Consider the following 19,507-nt stretch of genomic DNA (forward strand, 5'->3'; position numbering starts at 1 on the left):
TTCAGGCATAACGTTTAAAGCTTAAATTGCAATCCTAGCACTTCGGGAGCCCGAGCACTCCTCAGGCTCAGGAGGTTTGCTTGAGCCCAATCATAGGGAGACCCTGTCTCTAGAAAAGTTAAAAAAAATCAGCCAGGTGTGGTGGTGTGCACCTGTAGTCCCAGCTACTTGGAAGGTTGAGGTCGGGGGCTGCAGTCAGCCATGATAGCACCACTGCACTCCAGCCTGGGCGACAGAGTAAGTAAAGTGAGTAAATAGATAAATAAAGCTCAGGATTAAGTGCCTTCCTTAGCTCTCTCAGTTGTTTTATTGGCAAAGTGGCAGCTCACAGACTGGGCTTACTGGAAATAGACTTTGTAGAAACAGGAGTCATAACACTCAATTAGAGACAAGTATGATAAAAACTTAATGTGCATCCAATACTGTTGGGATCCCTTTCTACTCTCATTGAGCTTATAGTGTCATTTGAGAATTTAAAAATATATACATTTTTAAAGCCCAGACTAAACCAAGCAACTAAAAGAAACAAGGAGCTATCATAGGCTTCCAGTATTAGAAAAGGCACCTCCCTTGGAATGAGATCCTCCTTAAGTCACCGATAAGAGAACTACTCTTTGGCAGCTTAGCCATTTTTACCCACAATATTTCTGACAGCAAATGTGGTTTTTGTTTTTTTTTCCCGATACAAACCAATTCTCTAATGCAACTGCTACCAACTGGGTGTCCTATGATTAAATTCCAGTCTGATGCTGACTACCCAGAGTTAGCTCAGACCCTGCCACAGGTTAAGGGCTCAGCCAGCCTCACAAGCCTGCCTCTACTTCCAATGCCAATTCTAAATTCTGGGCCTCCTATATTTCTGACCAACTGGCTATAAACTGGGGGTTCCCATGACCCCCTTCTTAGGTTCCATAATTTGCTAGATGGCTCATGCCACTCACGAAGTCACTTTACTGCTGCCTTCATTTAGTGAAAACTAGCCCTTCTCTGCAATGTTTGAAGTGAATAAAAGGAAGATTGGCAGTTTTTTAACAGATCTTCCACTTCCATTTTCCAATGTATTCCAGCCACATGCCCACACCAGCTGTGTTTACCTCTGTGATTGCACCTAGTGATAAACCAAGTTGGTTTAATTAAAAGTCTGATTACATATACAAGGAAAAACACTCGGTTATTTCCAAAACAGCGGAAAATGTCCTCTGTTGCTCATAAGTACAAATGCCTTTTTGATATGGCCAAATGGTCGTAACATAATAGTGACTATAGTTCTTTAATAAATTTATAGACTAATTATGGGGTTTACAAATTTGGCCATTAACGTAACAAAATCTCCTTTAGAAGGAAACAACATTTCTAATTCAAAATATGTACTTGGGTTATCAGACATATGGATCCTTCAGACTTTCTAAGGCACTTGTAAAGAAATTGGATGTTAAAGAAATAGCAGTGGGCAGGGCGCGGTGGCTCAGGCCTGTAATCCCAACACTTTGGGAGGCCGAGACGGGTGGATCACCTAAGGTCAGGAGTTCGAGATCAGCCGGACCAACGTGGTGAAACCCCATCTCTACTAAAAATACAAAAATTAGCTGGGTGTGGTGGCAGGCACCTGCAATCCCAGCTACTCAAAAGGCTGAGGCAGGAGAATCACTTGAACCCAGGAGGTGGAGGTTGCAGTGAGCCGAGATCACGCCATTGTACTCCAGCCTGGGCGAGAGAGTGAGCTTGTCTCAAAAAAAAAAAAAAAAAAAAAAAAAAGGAGAGAGAGAAGTGTCAGAGGCGTTTGAGTCAAAGCAACTCCATCTTGAATAAGTGCTGGGTAAAATGAGTCTGAGACCTAATAGGTTGCATTCCCAGGAGGTTAGACATTCTAAGTCACAGAATGAGATAGGTCGCATAAGATACAGGTCCTACACATTTTAGGGAGAGATGAGACATCAATCAACACATGTAAGGTGTACATTGGTTTGGTCTGGAAAGGCAGGGAAGGGGACTTCCAGGTCAAAGGTAGATAAGAGACAAATGGTTACATTCTTTTGAGTCTCTGATCAGCTTTTCACTGAATACACAATTTACATGCGAGAGGAAGGTAGAGGAATAATCTCTTATGCCTCAGTCTGTCTTAGTGAAACAATAGGGCAGAGGAAGCAATCAGATATGAATTTGTCAAAGATGAACAGAAGAATGGCTTTGATTTCTGTCTGTCCTTTGCCCATGAGGAATTTCCTTGTAGGCAAATTGAAAGGGAGGTGTGCAGCTTCTTTTATTTTTAAATCTTTGTAGCTATCTTATTTAGGAATAAAATGGGAGGCAGGTTTGCCTGATGCCATTCCCAGCTTGACTTTTCCTTTTGGCTTAGTGATTTTTTGGCCCCCAGATTTATTTTCCTTTTGCAGCCTTTATCTTATTCATCACTGTATTTTCAGCCAGCTGTTCATAGTAGCTGAAAAATAGCCAACTGCTCCACAAATGCAGGTTGAGAAAATGAATAATGATATATAGTTAGCAGCATACCATTCCACACATGGTAGGGTTTTAGAAATGAGGGAGGAGTATGTTTGTTTCTATGTAGTAGGATACTGCAGCCCTTGTTGAGGGAAGAAAAAAATAAAAACAATAACAGAATTAAGAGATCTCACAGCATGGGTACAAAAAGGAATTTCTTATTTCTTCTAATTATTCTCCTCATCCCCTTCCTTCTGGAAACTTCTTTCTTTGGTCTTTGAAGGAGGAAATTAGGAAAAATAGCCTGCAACAGAGGGAATAGCCGGGACTTTGAAGCCAAGCACACCGAGTTTGGATGTAATTGCCTGAAGTGTGTTTTCAATCCAAATTGCACAGATGAGAGAAAGGAGCACAGCTGCACAGGGGAGGGAAGGAAGAGAGAGCTGGAAATAAGTGCTATGACATCAAGAGTGGAGGTACCCAACTGGGACATTGTTGGCTTCCTTTAGAATTGCCAGAAGTATCTTTTCTCTGCTTTAATCCTTATTGTTTTATCCCCAAATACAGACATATCAATCACACACTCTCTATAAAATTCTTCAAAAACATACATTGAAAATGAAAATCCCCCACTAAGCACTCCCAAGAGATAACCACTCTTACCCATATGGTGTATATTCTTTGACATCTTGCTGCTTTATGATTTAAGAGCTTAACTATGTGGTATTTGATCTATACAAAATAATAATAGTTCATCATTGTGGTAGGCTAGAGAATGGCCTCCCAAAAGATATCCCTGGGACCTGTGAATATTACCTTATGTGGCAAAAGAGAGAACACTTGCAGATGTGATAAAGTTAAGGATTTTGAAATGGGAGATGACCCTGGAGTGTCCTAGTGGGCCTTCGGTGCAATTGCTAGTGAGATTTGATACAGAAGAGAAGGGAGGGCAATAGGACCATGGAGGAAGAGCTAGGAGGGAGTTGGCCATAAACTGGCTGTTACCAGAAGGTGGAAGAGGCAAGGGCCTGATTGTCCCTGAGAGAGTTCAATTGGAATATGGCCCTGTTGACACCTTGATTCTAGTCTAGTGGGTATACTGTTAGTGGAAGCAGGCTTTCGGGAGATAAACACCTTTGGGGCTGAGTCTATAACACTAAAAGACACAGACGTGTGTGTGTCTGTGTGTGACATTCATTATGTTTTGCCTCCTAGAAGAACTATAATTGTCCTCTCCTAAGCCAGCCTACCTTGGTTCATTCTCTGGGTCTACCATTTTCTAGAATACCTAACTGATTCTTAAAGACTCCCCAACTCACACAACAAAATATTTTAAGTCCTAATGACTCCTGGTTGTCACAATTAAGAAAACAAGGTAACTATCCAGAAACTCATGCAAGGGTTTTAAGAATTGTGAGGTATTTTTTTTTAATGTTTTAAAAGCCAATTTGGGTTAAGAAAATTATAGCCAGAGAAAATAAGAACTTACTCTTCTGGATAAGGGTCAGGAGGACAGAATTTGCAAAATATTATGAAAATCTTTCAGGTCTATGCCTGTTGCCTCATTCACCTAGGCTAGGACCATGGGTTATGTATGGCTGTGATGAAAGGTACATGTGCAGGTCAGATAATCCCCACACAGGCATTTTTTTCATTTGGTGACTCAGAAAGTGTTTCTCTGCCAAGAGTCTCTTCTCCACATCTTAATCTGGACTGATACCTTTCCCTAAGTACAGATTTCCCAATTGTAGGAGATATGGGTTATCTGCACATAGACAGCTGAAGTTTTTTTTTTTTTTTTGAGATGTAGTGTTGCTCTGTCACCAGGCTGGAGTGCAGTGGCGTGATCTCAGCTCACTGCAAACTCCAACTCCCAGGTTCAAGTGATTCTCCTCCCTCAGCCTCCTGAGTAGCTGGGATTACAGGTACGTGTCACCACACCCAGCTAATTTTTGTATTTTTAGTAGAGACGGGGTTTCACCATGTTGGCTAGGATGGTCTCAATCTCCTGACCTTGTGATCTGCCCACCTCGGCCTCCTGAAGTGCTGGGATTACAGGCATGAGCCACCGCACCTGGCCAAGTGTTAAATTTAATTCATGGAACTATCTTCCTGTTTGAACCTTAGGTAGGGGGAAAAGCTGAGTCTGGCTGCCAATATTTTTTTTTCTCTTATTCTTTTGGGCAAGTTGAATTGAAAATCATGATCAAGACAACAAGCTAGGCTCCAAATCTAGTCAAAGCAATACATCTTTTTGGAGCATTTACTATTTATGAAGCCCTATGAAAGGCATATAAAGTAGTTGAAGACATGGACTTTATACTTAAGGTGCTTAGAACTGGGGGAACAAAGAGCATGCCAGGGGAGAGATGTCCCTGTGGGATTGTTTGGTCAATGGTAGAAATGAAACTTAAAATGAGCGGCTGAAGGTCAGGGACAACTCAGGAGGAAAGAATGAGGGGTAGCATCCCGAGTGGATACAGATGGAGGGAATGGGGTGTGGGCATGCTGTGGTCAGGATTGGGGAAATGGGCAGGACCACTCTGATCAGAACAGAATTTATTTCGGGGAAAAAAAAATTAAAGGGGAAAGGCAAGGGCTGCAGTGGGCCAAGTTATGGAGGGCCTTGGATGTCAAACAAATGAGTTTGGACTTGATTCTTGAGTTGCCCTGGTCCACTGAAGTGTTTCGGATCAGCAGAGCAACATAACAAAAAGGCACTTTCGGAAGATTAATTTGATACTGATGTGCACAGTCAATTGGAGGGGGTGAAACTGGAAGCAGAGAGGCAAGGTAGGGGCTGTTACAGTCATGCAGGCATAAAATAATGACGGCAGCATGAGAGAAATGAAGCCCTGGGAAGAAATTGTGACAGGAGCGACAAGACTTAGTAAGCGACTGAAGTAGGGGAGAAAGAAAAATGAGGTTTTGATTCTGCGTGGCTGGGTTTCTCTAAATTGAATGAGAATAAGGAAAGGGGGCAGGGAAGATTGTATGTGGAATAAAATGATGAACTATTTTAGAGAAGTTGGCGTCCATGCATCCACATCCGTGTCCAGCAACCAACTGGACATATGGGACTGAGTTGTGGGTAAGAAGCTTTCATGCGCGTCCGTGTGAAGAGACCACCAAACAGGCTTTGTGTGAGCAATAAAGCTTTTAATCACCTGGGGGCAGGTGGGCTGAGTCCGAAAAGAGAGTCAGCGAAGGGAGATAAGGGTGGGGCGGTTTTACAGGATTTGGGTAGGTAAAGGAAAATTACAGTCAAAGGGGGTTTGTTCTCTGGCGGGCAGGAGTGGGGGTCGCAAGGTGCTCAGTGGGGGTGCTTTTTGAGCCAGGATGAGCCAGGAAAAGGACTTTCACAAGGTAATGTCATCAGTTAAGGCAAGGACCGGCCATTTACACTTCTTTTGTGGTGGAATGTCATCAGTTAAGGTGGGGCAGGGCATATTCACTTCTTTTGTGATTCTTCAGTTACTTCAGGCCATCTGGGCGGATATGTGCAAGTCACAGGGGATGCGATGGCTTGGCTTGGGCTCAGAGGCCTGACAGAAGCCAGGGCAGGAAATGCAGGTTTGAGAGTCATCAGAACACAGGCCATAGCTAAGCCATGAAAATGACCAATGTCTCTGAGACAGAGAACTCAGCGCTCACAGACACTGAGCTCCGAACTGTCACCTAAGCATCAGAAACGGGCGGGAGGGGATGGGATCCAGTGACGGAGTAAAAGGAGAAGTGGTCAGAAAACTGCGAGGGCCACATTTATTTACATTAGTCCACATGCTTCAAGGAAATAGAATTTAACAAAAGTAAAGAGCTGTCAAAACGGATAGGCCCTTGGGTAATTTTATATCGCCGCATTGTGTACCCTGAACCTTGAAACATGGCTCACTTTTAACTTCTTTGAATGAAGAGCTGTGCGTTCAGACACAGTTCTGCTCCAGAGCCTCTTCACCTTGTTGATCACTTCCTGGCTGCCTCCACTAGAGATGCAGTCAATGCATACTTTGCATAGTTTATTCAGCCTAAGAAAGATCAACCTGAGTTGATCTCTCCTCTTCCAACTGCACAATTAGGAGGCACCACATAATACTGTTACCAAATATTTACTAAGCAACCCACTATGTGAAAAACTCCCTATTAGGGATTGAACAAACATTTACTTATACTCTCCATTTTAATACAAAGGTTCAACATTACAAATGTTTGAATAAATCAAAGCAGGCTGGCAAAAAAATTTCCTAAGTCTAACATATGGAGTTAATGGTGCCAACTTGCTTCCTTTTATAAGCCCAAGAGCTTTTTAAAGCTGAGCACTCTGGCTACGCCCATTAGGTTACAAGGTCCTCTCGGACTTTGTTGTATGACATCTGGTACTTTACTGCCTTAGAGGCTAAAAAGAAATACCATGCGTGCCATTTGCTTTGTCTCAGTCTTTCTAAAAGGTTCCCTTTCAACTTGGTCTTTCTCTGTTAGTGGTAATAGTCTTTAAGGGTTTCAGATATTGAAGGTCTGTTGTTAACAGATTTTCTTTTGACTTTTAAATAAGTCACATATCCACTACTCAGAGAAGAAGCAGAGGAATATACAACTAGGATTTGTATACTAGTTTTACTTTTGCAAAGATTTTGATGTACCTTGTCACCCAGATGACTGAGTTTTTGAAACAAAGTATATGCATTGTAGCTGGACACCACAATATAACTAGTATCAGGACACTGACAGGGAAGGTCAGGTGCAGATGAACGATAGAGGTGCAGGGTTATACTTTCTATGGCAAGGCTGGTACGTTACTTTAACAAAAAACCCCTATCACGGATCAATGGCTTCTCAAAAGTGGGAAAAAAACCCCAGAAATTTTGCATGTTTGAATTTTACAAATTTTGCCTGCTGTACAGGCAGGCTTAGCACTAAAAGTTACTTTTTTATGGTAGGGGCTTTCAAAATGCTTGTTGCCATTATGTTTAGCCTAAAGCTGCCTCTTTACGTGTCTTAAAGGTTTCTCCGTACATAGGGAACCTTAACTTAACTAGAGATGTAAATGGACTGTAACCTACTCTTGTGCCAGTCACCGAGTTTCGGCCAGTCAATGGAAGCCAATTGTTCAAACTGGGTTCAAATAAGGCAAATGCCAAGCTGTAACCAATCTGAATGTTTCTGTACCTCACTTACATTTTTTGTATGTCATATTCCTTTCTCTGCTCATAAATCTTGGACTACAAGGTAGCACTGGAGCCTCTCTGAATCTATTGTTTCGGGAACTGCCTGATTTTGGAATCATTCTTTGCCCATTTAAACTCTGTTAAATTTGTCTAAGGTTTTTCTTTTAACATTGCTATCACTGCCTATATTTGACCTTCGGCAGGCAGCTTGACTTCATTTACTAGATTTCAACAATAGTCCCCAAACAACAGTCTATGGATGAGATGCATCAGAACCACCTGGTAATCACTGAAAAAATAAATTCCTGGGTCCAATTTCTGGATACTCCAATTCAGTACATCTGGGGCAAGCCCAGGGTGTTTGTAGTTACATTTTTTAAATCTGCAGGTAATTCTAATAAAAAAAAATCAGCTTTGAGAGCCGCTCATTTCCTTCTAGATGTGTGCGGTGAAGTAAACTAGGCTGTGACCTGGTCTGAGCTTACATATCCTATATGCTAAGTATGAGCATCACAGTACCGAACTTCTCTCAAATGAAAAGAATGATGGTCCTTCCCTGATCGGCTGAAACTGAGATACTAATTTATAAACTTGGAAACCTTGGCCTTTAACCAGAGCTTACAAACTGTAGGGGAAAGATTATCCTTTTGCCCTATGATACCCTTATTTCAGGGACATTTGGAGCACTTGATATTTTTTATTTCCTCATCATGTGTTGGGAAGAAGAGATGCCAGGAACACAATGACAAGTCCAAGACATGCAAATCAAAATGGAACCCAGGTTTCTTCTTACTTAGTTCAGTTCTTATGAAATACATCACTATGTAATAAAATTAAATCTCTCATGTTGGTATACCAGACCATTTTAATGTTAAAGGGAGAAGTTGATTTACGCTCACAAATTACCACTACCACCATTTCCTCCCCACCAAAAGAAAAACCTAAACATACACTAAAACATCCCCTACACTCTAAAAATCAGCACATTTCCAAAATAGAATCATACATATTACTCTCAAACTCTATTTTCATTTTAAAATATATCACACACACCCCTCTAGTTCAATATATGCCATAACTCATTCTTTGTAATAGCCTCATAACATTCCATATTATAGATATATCATGATTTTTCTATTGTTCCCGTACTGATGGACTTTGTTTTCAGCTTTTAGAAAAATCAACACATACAGTGCTACAATTTTAACACACATGCTAATTATTTTATTTCAGACAGGTATTTTCTAATAGGATTTATCAAAAGGGTGTGAGGATCTTAACTCTTAAAACTTTTTTTGACATATAGAAATTTTTATTTAAATAGAGACGAGGGTCTCACCATGTTGCCTAGACTTGTCTCAACCTCCTAGGCTCAAGGAATCAACCCTCTTTGGCCTCCCAAAGTGTTAGGATTACAGGCGTGAGCCACCGTGCGTGGCGGAGGATCTTAACTTTTATTAGATTCAGCTGATTACTTTCCGAAGAGGTTATAACAATTTGACCTTCTCTGGCACTATATGACAGTTCCAGTTGCTTCCTCATCCTCACCAGCACTAAGCATTTTCTATCTATGGGAAAAATTAAAACACTTAATTGTTTTAATTTGCATTTCCTTGTGAGTGAAATGTGCCTTTTTATGTAAGTTAGTTTTTCTTTGCATATTCTCTTCTGTAAATGGCCCTCTAGGATAAAATTAAGTTATATTCTTCCTTATACTGTGTACAAAAAAATAATTCCATATAAAGATCTAAATGTAAAAAAGAAAAATTATGCAAAATCAGCAGGAAAACAATCCTAGAATATTTAGAGTGGGAGCAATATTTGACATTTTTAAACAAGCTAAAACTAAATACCACAAAGAAAGAAAAACTAATGGTGGATTTGAATTATAACCATTAAGATGGTTTCTATTGCTCTTTTCCTTACAGAAAAAGTCAAAAGACAAATGACAGATTGGTAAAGAAGCATGTGTTACAGATATGATACACAAAGGATTAATATCTCTAATACATGGTTCTCTCAGAAGCTGATAAGAAAATGCAAAATTAAAAATTTAAAAAAACCCAAAAATGAGCAAAGCATACAAATTCACTGACTTTTTTCCCTCTCTGACACACTACTTCTGAAGTCCCCTGTGTTTAAAATGTAGAACCTGTGCTTGTTTACATCAGATACATCAATGAGTAGATGTCTCTCCTCCTACATGGCCTTCTCACACTCACCTCTTTTCTCTAGCTGTAGGGCCTCTTGGCACCAGGGTCTGATTTTCTCATGTGGTGTGTTGCCTTTGGTAAACCTCACATACCTCCTAATCACAGCTGAGCTGTCCTTTTGACGTGTGCCCCCACGTCTCCCCTTTCAACTCTGCAGCGAACTTACAGCAGCTCAATGCTTCTTGAAGCCAAAAGCTTATATTCAGAAAGCTCTGTACACAAAACAAAAAGCCCCACTGAGCACCACTTCACCAATTTCAGGTGTGCCCTACAACGGAAGGACACATTTACTTGCAGAGTTTAGAAACTGAGTTTTGAGAAGACACCTGTGTAGCACTTATATCTATGAGAATTGAAAGCAACTACTTGCATACCACACACATAGATGAGGAACAACTGAGACAACCCAAGACAAAGTGCTTTGCAAAGTCTAATGTCCTACATACAACTGACAGTAAGCCATTGGGCCCAGTTTCCCTTAAAACCACACAATTAAAAATAATCAGTAAGCAACGGGAGCAATCATGTACCCCTTACTTCCTTTCCCAAGCTGGAGACTCTCAACAGCTCTGATCTGCTCTCACAGCCATGCCCAACAAATTCCTCATCATTCAAGGCCCTGCCTTAAGGATAACATCTTCAGGAAGTCCTCTTCCATCTTAGACTCATCCCCCAATTTTTGGTTATCAGTTCCTTCTGAGTTGTTAGCATTCTGTGTTAACAAGTTATAAAGGAGAAGTCCCTTATAACTTTAACCACAGTTGTAATTAATCTGAGTTACCTGGGCTAGAATAGTCGGCTACCTGGGCTAGAGTGGAAATTCAGTGAAAACAAGGATCATGTCCATTTTGTGTAGAGTGCTTAGCATGGTTCCAGGTATGTATTAGATGATCAAAACCTTTGTTGAATGAGTAAAGAAAAACCACAGTATCTTGTTTATTTATATCATAGCTGTTGTAAGAGTTTATAACTGTTTACTTGTTCATTGTTTGTTTCCCTCGTGAAATTATGGGCTTCACAAAACAGGTGCTTTTTTTCTGCCTTAGTGCTAGCCCTTTATATTCCTAATATCTAAAACAATTTGGGACATATAGGTGCTCAATACAAATTTAACAAATAAATGAATATAGGCCTCAGTATATGCTGTTGTTGGTGAACAAGGAACTTTGAGATCATCATCACCTCCATTTTCAAAACTTCATGACTGAAAATTGTAAGCAACTTCAATCTCCATAGACTTTAAGTCATTTTACATCTACATTGTTACTTAATGTACCAGTATTTTACATTTCGTTTTTTTAGAGATGGAGTCACTCTGTCACCCAGGCTGGAGTGCAGTGGCACAACCATAGCTCACTGCAACCTTGAACTCGTGGGTTCAAGAGATCCTCTCACCTCTGCCTCTAGAGTAGCTAGGACCACAGACTTGTGCCACTGTGCCTGGGTTTTATTTTAAAATTGTTTTTGTAGAGACAAGGTATTGCTGTGTCACTCAGGCTGGTCTCAAGCAATCTTGGCCTCAAGCAATCCTCCTGGTTCAGCAATCCTCCTGCCTCAGCCTCCCAAAGTGCTGGGATAACATGCGTAAGCCACCATGCTTGGCTATTTACATTATAAAACACAAAAAATTAAAATGTACTTAAGAATGAGATAAAATAAATTTTAGATATGTATGCTACTTTGGACCATCCTACTTTGAAGATAATTTTTTTTCTGGATGACAATGGGTACCCCAGATTTGCGCTATGATCTGTCACTTAAGATAGCTGCAAATTTAAGATTTTTCAACATTCCTTAACCAGAAGCCTGAGTTTTAAGACAAAAGCCTCTTTAATCAAGGTTTTAGAACTCATGAGAGCAAGACAGAGGCCAAGAAAAATGATTTGTAAGTGATTGAAAAATAATTTTTATTCAGAAGCTCTTTTTCTTATAGTTTTCAGGTTGAGGTTACTGGTTAGGGAGATAATGAAGTATATATAGATCACTGGTGATGTCTACTCAAACAGTGAGAAGTTCAAAGTGATGGAAAGTCAGAAAAGATTAGGGAAGAGGAATTTTATCAAGCAGTGGAGTAGCAGTAGAAAATTTATGCAGACAAACTTTCCTTTCAATCCATGCTTCACAGAGGCAAGAAAAAATAGCCCCTAGCCTTCTTTGGCAAATGACGACGTTTAACCTGGACGAGGTTCTAACGATGGCTATTATTGTAGTTTTAAAAAGTAATTGATGGTGCAAGAAACTGCTGGCAAATATTTTTTCTGGAAAGTCTTCTTAAAATGGGCTTGTTCAGGCTTGGAAAAATACATGTTATAGGGGAATACATATGAAAGTGTAATGAATTCTCCCTCCAGTCATTTCAAATGCTTTTTTCCTAACTTTTAAATAAAAATCTAAATACAGATTTAATCATACTGTGATATTGAGACCACTGAAGAATTTCTATTTGAAAATCCATTTACTTAAATGCATATATCAGCATGATGCAGGGAGGTTCTGGCATTATTCTAAGCCGAAAGGCCTCGAGCACTGCTCCTCTGTTTCACATCTCTCCAGTATCTATGTGACACGCAGCAAGACAGCCACTTTGGCCATTTAATGCTTCATTGGAATATTCAATAATCTCATTTTCAGTTAGAAATAAAGGAGGAACATGCTTGTTTTTCTTTTCAGTCATTAGTTTGGCACTGAGTGTTGTATTGTTAAATTTACTAACTTCTGATTCTTATTTGCAATGATTTTAGAATGGTTTTGGCACAAGGCACCACAGAAGCTGCAATTCTTGCTATAGGGTTGATTTTTTAAAAATCTTTTTGAGAATTTACACATGCTTAAAATTACTTTTAATCTGATTATAAAAGCTGTTCATGCTTCATGCAGAAGAATTAGTAAATACAGAAAAAAGTATAGGGAGAAAGAAAAAAAAACCCTATGTTACAGTGTCACTTGGACATAACAACCACTTGTTATTTTGGAGCTTTCCCCCCAGATATAGTTAACTATATCATATAGCAAAACCAAAACTACTGATACCTTTGTATCCTATTTTCTCATTTTTTATTGTATTGTTGGGGCTCACAGAATACCCCAAAGTATGGTGCTTTGGCATGTTGAGCACTTTTGAATTAAAGGAAATTGGAAGACCTTAGATGCTGCCTCAGAATCAAGAACTTTCTAACCTTCTCTTGTCTGCAGTTCCCCACTGCCCCCCTTAACCCCCACAGGGAGAGGCTGCCTCTGGAACTTCCCTTATCTGACTCAGAAAACTTCTTCCAAAAGAAGTGCAATTGTCTTGAAACCCTCTCCCTCGGGCATCTCAACTAACCAGGAAGGATTAATCACCAGAGAAAAGGAAAGACTAAAAGTCTTTCTCATCATGCCCAGACAGACTTTTCATTTATTCTTTTGAGGTCTGTTCTGAGAGATTACCTGGGAGACTTTATCTGCATAATAAGACAACTTTTGTTCACAGGGCAGTTATGCCCCTCACCTTCCTAGGACTTGTCCACAAACTATTCTCTGTTCTTCATCCCATTAGAATCATTTAAAAACTATTATCTGGACAGACGCAGTGGCTCATGCCTGTAATCCCAGCACTTTGGGAGGCTGAGGCAGGTGGATCACGAGGTCAGGAGATCGAGACCATCCTGGCTAACACAGTGAAACCTCGTCTCTACTGAAAACACAAAAAATTAGCCTGGTGTGGTGGCAAGTGCCTGTAGTCCCAGCTACTCGGGAGGCTGAGGCAGAAGAATGGTGTGAACCCAGGAGGCAGAGCTTGCAGTGAGCCGAGATAGCACTACAGCACTCTAGCCTGGGCGACGGAGTGAGACTCTGTCTCAAAAAAAAAAAAAACAAAAAAAACCCACAAAAACCAACAAAACAACAACAAAAAACAAACAAAACAAAACAAAACAAAACAAAACAAACTATTATCTGTCCTTTGGGCCCATTTAATTCCCCTAAAAGTCATTTACTACCCCTTGACATTTCCTACACTCCCCACTTACCTCTCCTCTATGAAGAAGAGTATATGAACTTCTAAACCTCATTGGGGAATTGGGTAATCTTTCTCCTGTGATTCCCCTGTGTTTATGCACATTAATACACTTGTATACCTTTTTTTTCAGCATTTGCCAACCTTCAGAGGGGGAGTGAGAATTTTCCTTTACCTCTATAGAATCTTGAGCATTAAAAATTATTTATAGACATTTATAGCCGGCACAAAAGGGTCTATAATTTGCACTATAATGAGCCTTTCTCATTGTTGAACACATAGGTAGCATCCCAAGTTTTGATAGACTAAATAAATTGATAACAAACGTCTTTCCATGCACTCTAAATCTTTGCCTACATTTCAGATAATCCCCTTAGGAAAGCTTTTTAGAAATGAAACTGTAGAGAGTATTAATACTGCAAATAGCTTACATTTATTGAGTTTATTTGTCCTAGTCTCTGCCTAAGCATTTTACATATATGAACTTATTCAATATTAGTTCTATTTTAGATATGAGAAAATTGAGGCACAGGGATATTAAGTAATTCCTTCCAATTATCACATCACTAGTAAGTGGAAGAACTAGGACATGAACCCAGGCAGGCTGAGGATGGAGCTGGTGGTCCGAACCTTTATTTTGCATGGATTCTCTAACCACATGTGTAGAGGTGACCCCAGCAGATCATAAACCTGGGACTTGGAAGAAAGAGACCACCCAATTTAATTCTTGGACATTATAGAAAGCAAGGCCCAGAAAGATGAAGTGACTTCATTAAAGTAGCACAGATAGCTAGTAGCAGATCTCGAACTTGTCACCTGACTCCTTATCCTGCAATTCAGTAACTTGCTCCTGAAAGCATGGTGCCTGAACCATAGTGTCAGCATCACCTGGAAGCCCATTAGAAATGCAGAGTCCCAGGCTCTACCTGGGACTGCAGCTGAATCTGCATTGTCAATAAGATCCCCTAGTGTTTTATTTGCACATTAAAATTCATTAGCTCTGGCAATATTCTCTGTAAACCTGATAGAGCTTTGATGATATGTTAATGGAAAATCTGCACATAAGCTGCTCGTATTTTTATAGCATGAAAAAAAGCCCTAATTTTTCAGAGTTAAAGTTTATATTAAATTGAGCCATTTGATATTGCTGTTATTTTAAGATTTAAAAACTGTCATATACTGGCAACTTATTGTGATTCAACTTCAGTGGCTGCAGGAGTAACAACAAAACTTCCATGTGCCTGTTAATCTCTGTAGAGATCGGACTTGAAGAATAAGATGAAGTTCCTTCCCCCAAAGAGAGTACAGCTTGGTCAGGAAGAATAAACAATTAAACAATTAAAGTACAAAATAGTTAGTGCTACTGCAGAGCATTCTGAGTGCTCAGGAGGAAGTTAAGTGATGTTCTGGAAAACTGTTTTCTGGAAGAAAACGGTTACTAGTTTCTATTAATGGCAACAAAGACGGGTATGCAAGGCTTAGTCAAATTATTAAATAAATATCCCTGTAAGCCGCTCAGAGCCTGATGAAACAAATAGTTTATAGGTATATAAAATATAGGAGATGTAAATCACCACTTGAACTGCCCAAGCAAAACAGCTGTGTTGTTCTTAATGGCGACAGCAGGTAAAGAAAGTTACAGGGCTTAGGACTTAGGGTGTGCTATTCTTACGGGCCCCAATTTGGCCATTTCTGTTTTTTGAAACCAGTGGATGTGATGTTGGAAAAGAACTGTTTTCTCCTGCTACACTCAGCATTCAACACAGAACATTTCTGCTAGCAGATGTAGGGCGGGGGAGGATTCCCCCAACAAGCAATTCTCTCACACCAGCTGGATGTCCTATAATTCAATTCTGACATTAACCAGAACTGCCCCAGATCTCATAGGTTAGTGGCCCAGTCCCACACAACTACCTCCTACTTCACATGCCAATCTCAAGTTCAGGTGTCTGGAAATTTTGACCAACCAGCTATAAATTAGGGGTTCCCATAATCTCCTCCCTTGGGTTTGGTTATTTGCTAGGATGGCTCACAGAACTTAGGAAAACACTTATGTTTACCCATTTATTATAAAAGATACAGATACAGAGCCAGATGGAAGAGAGGCATAGGGCAAGGTATGTAGGAGGGGTCCCAGAACTTCCAGACCCTCTGTGGGGATACCAACCTCGCAGTACTTCCATATGTTCAGCAACCTGGAAGCTCTCTGAATCCTGTCCTTTTTGGGTTTTTATGGAGGGTTATGAGGGCACAATTGATTAAATCATTGACCACTGGTGATTAGCTCAAACTGCAGTCCCTTTTACTTCCCTGGAGGTTGGGGGATGGGGCTGAAAGTCCCAAACCTCTAATCACATGGTTGGTTTCCCTGGCAACCAGCTCCCATCCGAAGGCTATCCAGAAGCCCCCATCACCTGTCATCTCATTAGCATACAAAAAGACACATCACTTTGGAGAGTCAAGGATTTTAGGAGCTGTTTGCCAGAAAATGGGATGAAGACCAAATATATATGTTTCTACTATAAGAATATCATAGTGGATATCTTTAGATTGAGTGAAATGAGTAACTGACTTTCCATTGTCCCATACAATGAACAGAAGAATCTTTGGAGTGATCAATACTTAAAAATACAATGTGTTTACCAGAAGCCATGTATAATAACTATAAGTTATACTGTATGTTCAAGGGCACAAAATTCTTGGTAAGTAGTCACCATAAAAATTATCCATTCTTAAGAAATCATTATTTGCAATCCTGCTATTACAGAAATGAGACTGGGTGACCATGCTGATTTTGCATCTTTCCACTAGTTGGTTTAGAATACCTAATTTGGGGATAGTTGGTTGAATCTTTGAATTGGCGATAATTCTACTTTACCATTTCATCTAACTTTTTTCTTATTAAGATTCCTTTCCTAGAAAGAACCAAGCTACCAATAGCTGGGTCCATGGTGAGTTATCCACCCTGTAATTAAATGCTGTCTATACAAGTTGCATTTGAAGGAAAAAAACAAATTCTTTTTCACACACAAAAAAAGAGGCCAAGATAGTGGCAAGTCCTTTGGTATGCTATACTTTTTCTTGAGAAACTATGCAGTGTGGTTTCACCCTTGGAGAGTCCCTTACTTTTTGCTATTTCTCAGCTGGTGCCCATCCTCTCACTTCTTCCACAATTCCTTAACTCAAGGCTAAGGCTTTAAGCCTTTCTCACAGGGACCAACTGATTTCACACCACCTCTGTCTGAATATTTCCAGCTTTCCCTCAGGCTGGACTGCTCTCTGGGCAGCAAGCTGAGCTCGGCTCAGAAAATGCCCCCATTCTGAGGACTCTTCAAACCACATTTGATCAACTTTATTTGATCAACTCTGTGTTTGAATTTTTACTGTTGCCTTATTTTAAAGGAAGCCTGACTGTACTCTCCAGGACTATTCTGTTTCTGTGGTACTTGGAATTTGTATGGGCATCTGAGTAGGGGAACCAAGTACAGAAATTGCAAGCAAACTTTCTTCTTATTGAATCACGGCACCTAAAGAGATAGAAAAAAAGTTAAAGGAAGAATACGACCAATAAAGTTCTGAAAGATACACTGGAAGTTCTTTGGTTTGTAAAAATTAGTCAAAAACTAGAGAGGATGTTAGGCTCAAAATGAATGATTGAGGAGTGACCTACAATTTCAGATGACTTCCTGTCTATTCCTTAGAGGATAAAGCAGCAATGACAAAAAGGCAAGGGTCGCTTCTCTAAATTTGGTAAAAGGTAATGGCTAATAAAAGTGTTGACCAGCTGGTGCCCATTCTAGGCCAGCCAGGAAATGGCAGTTTTGCCTCAGAGATCTCCTCCCCCAAGCAGAATGCCGGTCCAGTCACTTTTAAGAGCCTATATAAATAAAATATCTGAGGCCAACTTTGGATAATAGTGCAAGTGATACCCAAAACACATTGAACAGGGAGAAATCAGCAGGAGAGTGGGAATATCGCCCTTAAGCACATACAGGTGGCAGCTGTGGGATCCCCACATTCCTCCGAAAGCCGTAAGGGCAAATGGTTCCTGTTTTTCACTACTTGTCATTGATGAAATTTAGTGTGATAAAACTGCCTGCAGGTGTCAGCAATTCGATTCCTAGTTTGTTAGTTTCCTGTCCCCCTTCCTTCCTCGCTCTCTCTCATCCCTTCCTCCTCTTCTTCCCTCCTTTTTCCTTTGAAAATCTTCACTGAACATGCGAAACGCTATTTGGGGACTGTAAGAATATAGATAAGAAGATACAGCATCTTACTCTCAACTTGCTTATTTCCTGAAAGATAGGACATCCACATACAACTGTAATACCGAGCCGCACGTGGTTAGTGTTATAAACGACAGAGTGGCATGGGCTCTCAGAGGAGGGCGCGGTCACGGCTGATTGGTGGGACCTGGGAACTCGCGCTGGAGGAGGTAAGAGTTTGAACTGGTTTGAGAAAGGTGGGCAGATGTGGAGGAACATGCACAGAATAGACAAAGGACAGAGAACGAAAGCTGTAGGTGATTTTGAGAGGTTTCACAGTGATAAGCAAACGGAAATTGAACACAGTCTGGACCAGAGCAGCAGGAACCAAGGGCGAGTGACTGTTCCATCGACCCCCAGGCTCCAGCCATGTCACCCTGCTGCTTGTCCTCAACAGTGGTTCTCAAAGTTTAGCTTCTTGCCGGGCGTGGTGGCTCACGCCTGTAATCCCATCTCTTTGGGAGGCTGAGGCGGGCGGATCATGAGGTCAGGAGATCGAGACGATCCCGGCTAACACGGTGAAACCCCGTCTCTACTAAAAATACAAAAAATTAGCCAGGTGTGGTGGCGGGCACCTGTAGTCCCAGCTACTCGGGAGGCTGAGGCAGGAGAATGGCTTGAACCCGGGAGGTGGAGCTTGCAGTGAGCCGAGATTCGCACCACTGCACTCCAGCCTGGGCTACAGAGCGAGACTCCATCTCAAAAAAAAAAAAAAAAAAAAAAAAAAAATAAAAAAATTTAGCGTCTATCACCTGGAGGGCTTGTTAAGCCCGACTGCTGGGCCCCACCCCCAGAACTCCTGATTTGGGAGGGGGAGGTGGCCTGATAATTTTTAGCTTCTCTCAAGTGCCCAGGTGGTGCTGATGTTGCTGGTCTGAGACCCACTGTCCAGGGACATGCTACACGGGCTTCCACCTCACCTCCTCTTTCCCACGCGTGGAAGTTTCTACCCTCAGAGCTTCACATAATCAGGAGTCTCACTTTATTCTTCTCATCTCCTCTCCTGACACTCTATCACCTTTCTACATTTTATCTCCGCTCAGAGTCCTTATCAGAACTCACTACTATGGCATATTAATTTTCTGTCATTTCATTAGAATGTAAACTTCACAAGATACTTTGTTTTATTCACTAGGACTTAAAGAAGTGCTGTATTCCTAGAACCTACAGTGCTATATCCCTGGGCCTTAAAATGGGCACATAGTAGGCACTCAATGAATAGTGCTGACTGAATACACAAGGTATTGCCTTGGAAAGGAGTGGGGGGCGGTGGGGGCGGGATCAGGAACCTGTAGAGTTTGTGGTAGGAAGGATAGAAGCTGAGATAACTCGGGTCAAATGCTGCATCGTCTTTTTTTTTTTTTTTTTTTTTTGAGACAGGCTGTTGCCCAGGCTGGAGTGCAGTGGCGCCCTCTGTCACACAGGCTGGAGCGC

General features: G+C 40.9%; 1 protein-coding gene across 3 annotated transcripts in view, besides 7 other annotated features; it reads right to left on the reverse strand.

Moving 5' to 3' along the window:
- The window catches only part of CPA6 (carboxypeptidase A6), a 324,323-nt gene that overhangs the window by 292,385 nt on the left and 12,431 nt on the right, over positions 1-19,507 (reverse strand). The window lies entirely within an intron of this gene.
- Positions 4,072-4,366: a silencer, noted in NCBI's record as "tiled region #5318; HepG2 Repressive non-DNase unmatched - State 24:Quies". NCBI's record gives its function as "represses a minimal TATA promoter and a strong SV40 promoter by Sharpr-MPRA in HepG2 cells {active_cell/tissue: HepG2}" and the evidence as "EXISTENCE:reporter gene assay evidence [ECO:0000049][PMID:27701403]".
- Positions 4,970-5,475: an enhancer, noted in NCBI's record as "NANOG-H3K27ac-H3K4me1 hESC enhancer chr8:68631627-68632132 (GRCh37/hg19 assembly coordinates)". NCBI's record gives its function as "activates a minimal SCP1, AML or CMV promoter by ChIP-STARR-seq in primed H9 embryonic stem cells {active_cell/tissue: H9 hESC(primed)}" and the evidence as "EXISTENCE:reporter gene assay evidence [ECO:0000049][PMID:30033119]".
- Positions 5,476-5,979: an enhancer, noted in NCBI's record as "OCT4-NANOG-H3K27ac-H3K4me1 hESC enhancer chr8:68632133-68632636 (GRCh37/hg19 assembly coordinates)". NCBI's record gives its function as "activates a minimal SCP1, AML or CMV promoter by ChIP-STARR-seq in naive and primed H9 embryonic stem cells {active_cell/tissue: H9 hESC(naive and primed)}" and the evidence as "EXISTENCE:reporter gene assay evidence [ECO:0000049][PMID:30033119]".
- Positions 5,980-6,485: an enhancer, noted in NCBI's record as "OCT4-NANOG-H3K27ac hESC enhancer chr8:68632637-68633142 (GRCh37/hg19 assembly coordinates)". NCBI's record gives its function as "activates a minimal SCP1, AML or CMV promoter by ChIP-STARR-seq in naive and primed H9 embryonic stem cells {active_cell/tissue: H9 hESC(naive and primed)}" and the evidence as "EXISTENCE:reporter gene assay evidence [ECO:0000049][PMID:30033119]".
- Positions 6,486-6,990: an enhancer, noted in NCBI's record as "OCT4-NANOG-H3K27ac hESC enhancer chr8:68633143-68633647 (GRCh37/hg19 assembly coordinates)". NCBI's record gives its function as "activates a minimal SCP1, AML or CMV promoter by ChIP-STARR-seq in naive and primed H9 embryonic stem cells {active_cell/tissue: H9 hESC(naive and primed)}" and the evidence as "EXISTENCE:reporter gene assay evidence [ECO:0000049][PMID:30033119]".
- Positions 12,892-13,186: a silencer, noted in NCBI's record as "tiled region #913; K562 Repressive non-DNase unmatched - State 24:Quies". NCBI's record gives its function as "represses a minimal TATA promoter and a strong SV40 promoter by Sharpr-MPRA in K562 cells {active_cell/tissue: K562}" and the evidence as "EXISTENCE:reporter gene assay evidence [ECO:0000049][PMID:27701403]".
- Positions 17,525-18,025: an enhancer, noted in NCBI's record as "H3K4me1 hESC enhancer chr8:68644182-68644682 (GRCh37/hg19 assembly coordinates)". NCBI's record gives its function as "activates a minimal SCP1, AML or CMV promoter by ChIP-STARR-seq in primed H9 embryonic stem cells {active_cell/tissue: H9 hESC(primed)}" and the evidence as "EXISTENCE:reporter gene assay evidence [ECO:0000049][PMID:30033119]".

The sequence above is a fragment of the Homo sapiens genome, chromosome 8 (genome assembly GCF_000001405.40).
Source record: "Homo sapiens chromosome 8, GRCh38.p14 Primary Assembly".
Lineage (NCBI taxonomy): Eukaryota > Metazoa > Chordata > Mammalia > Primates > Hominidae > Homo > Homo sapiens.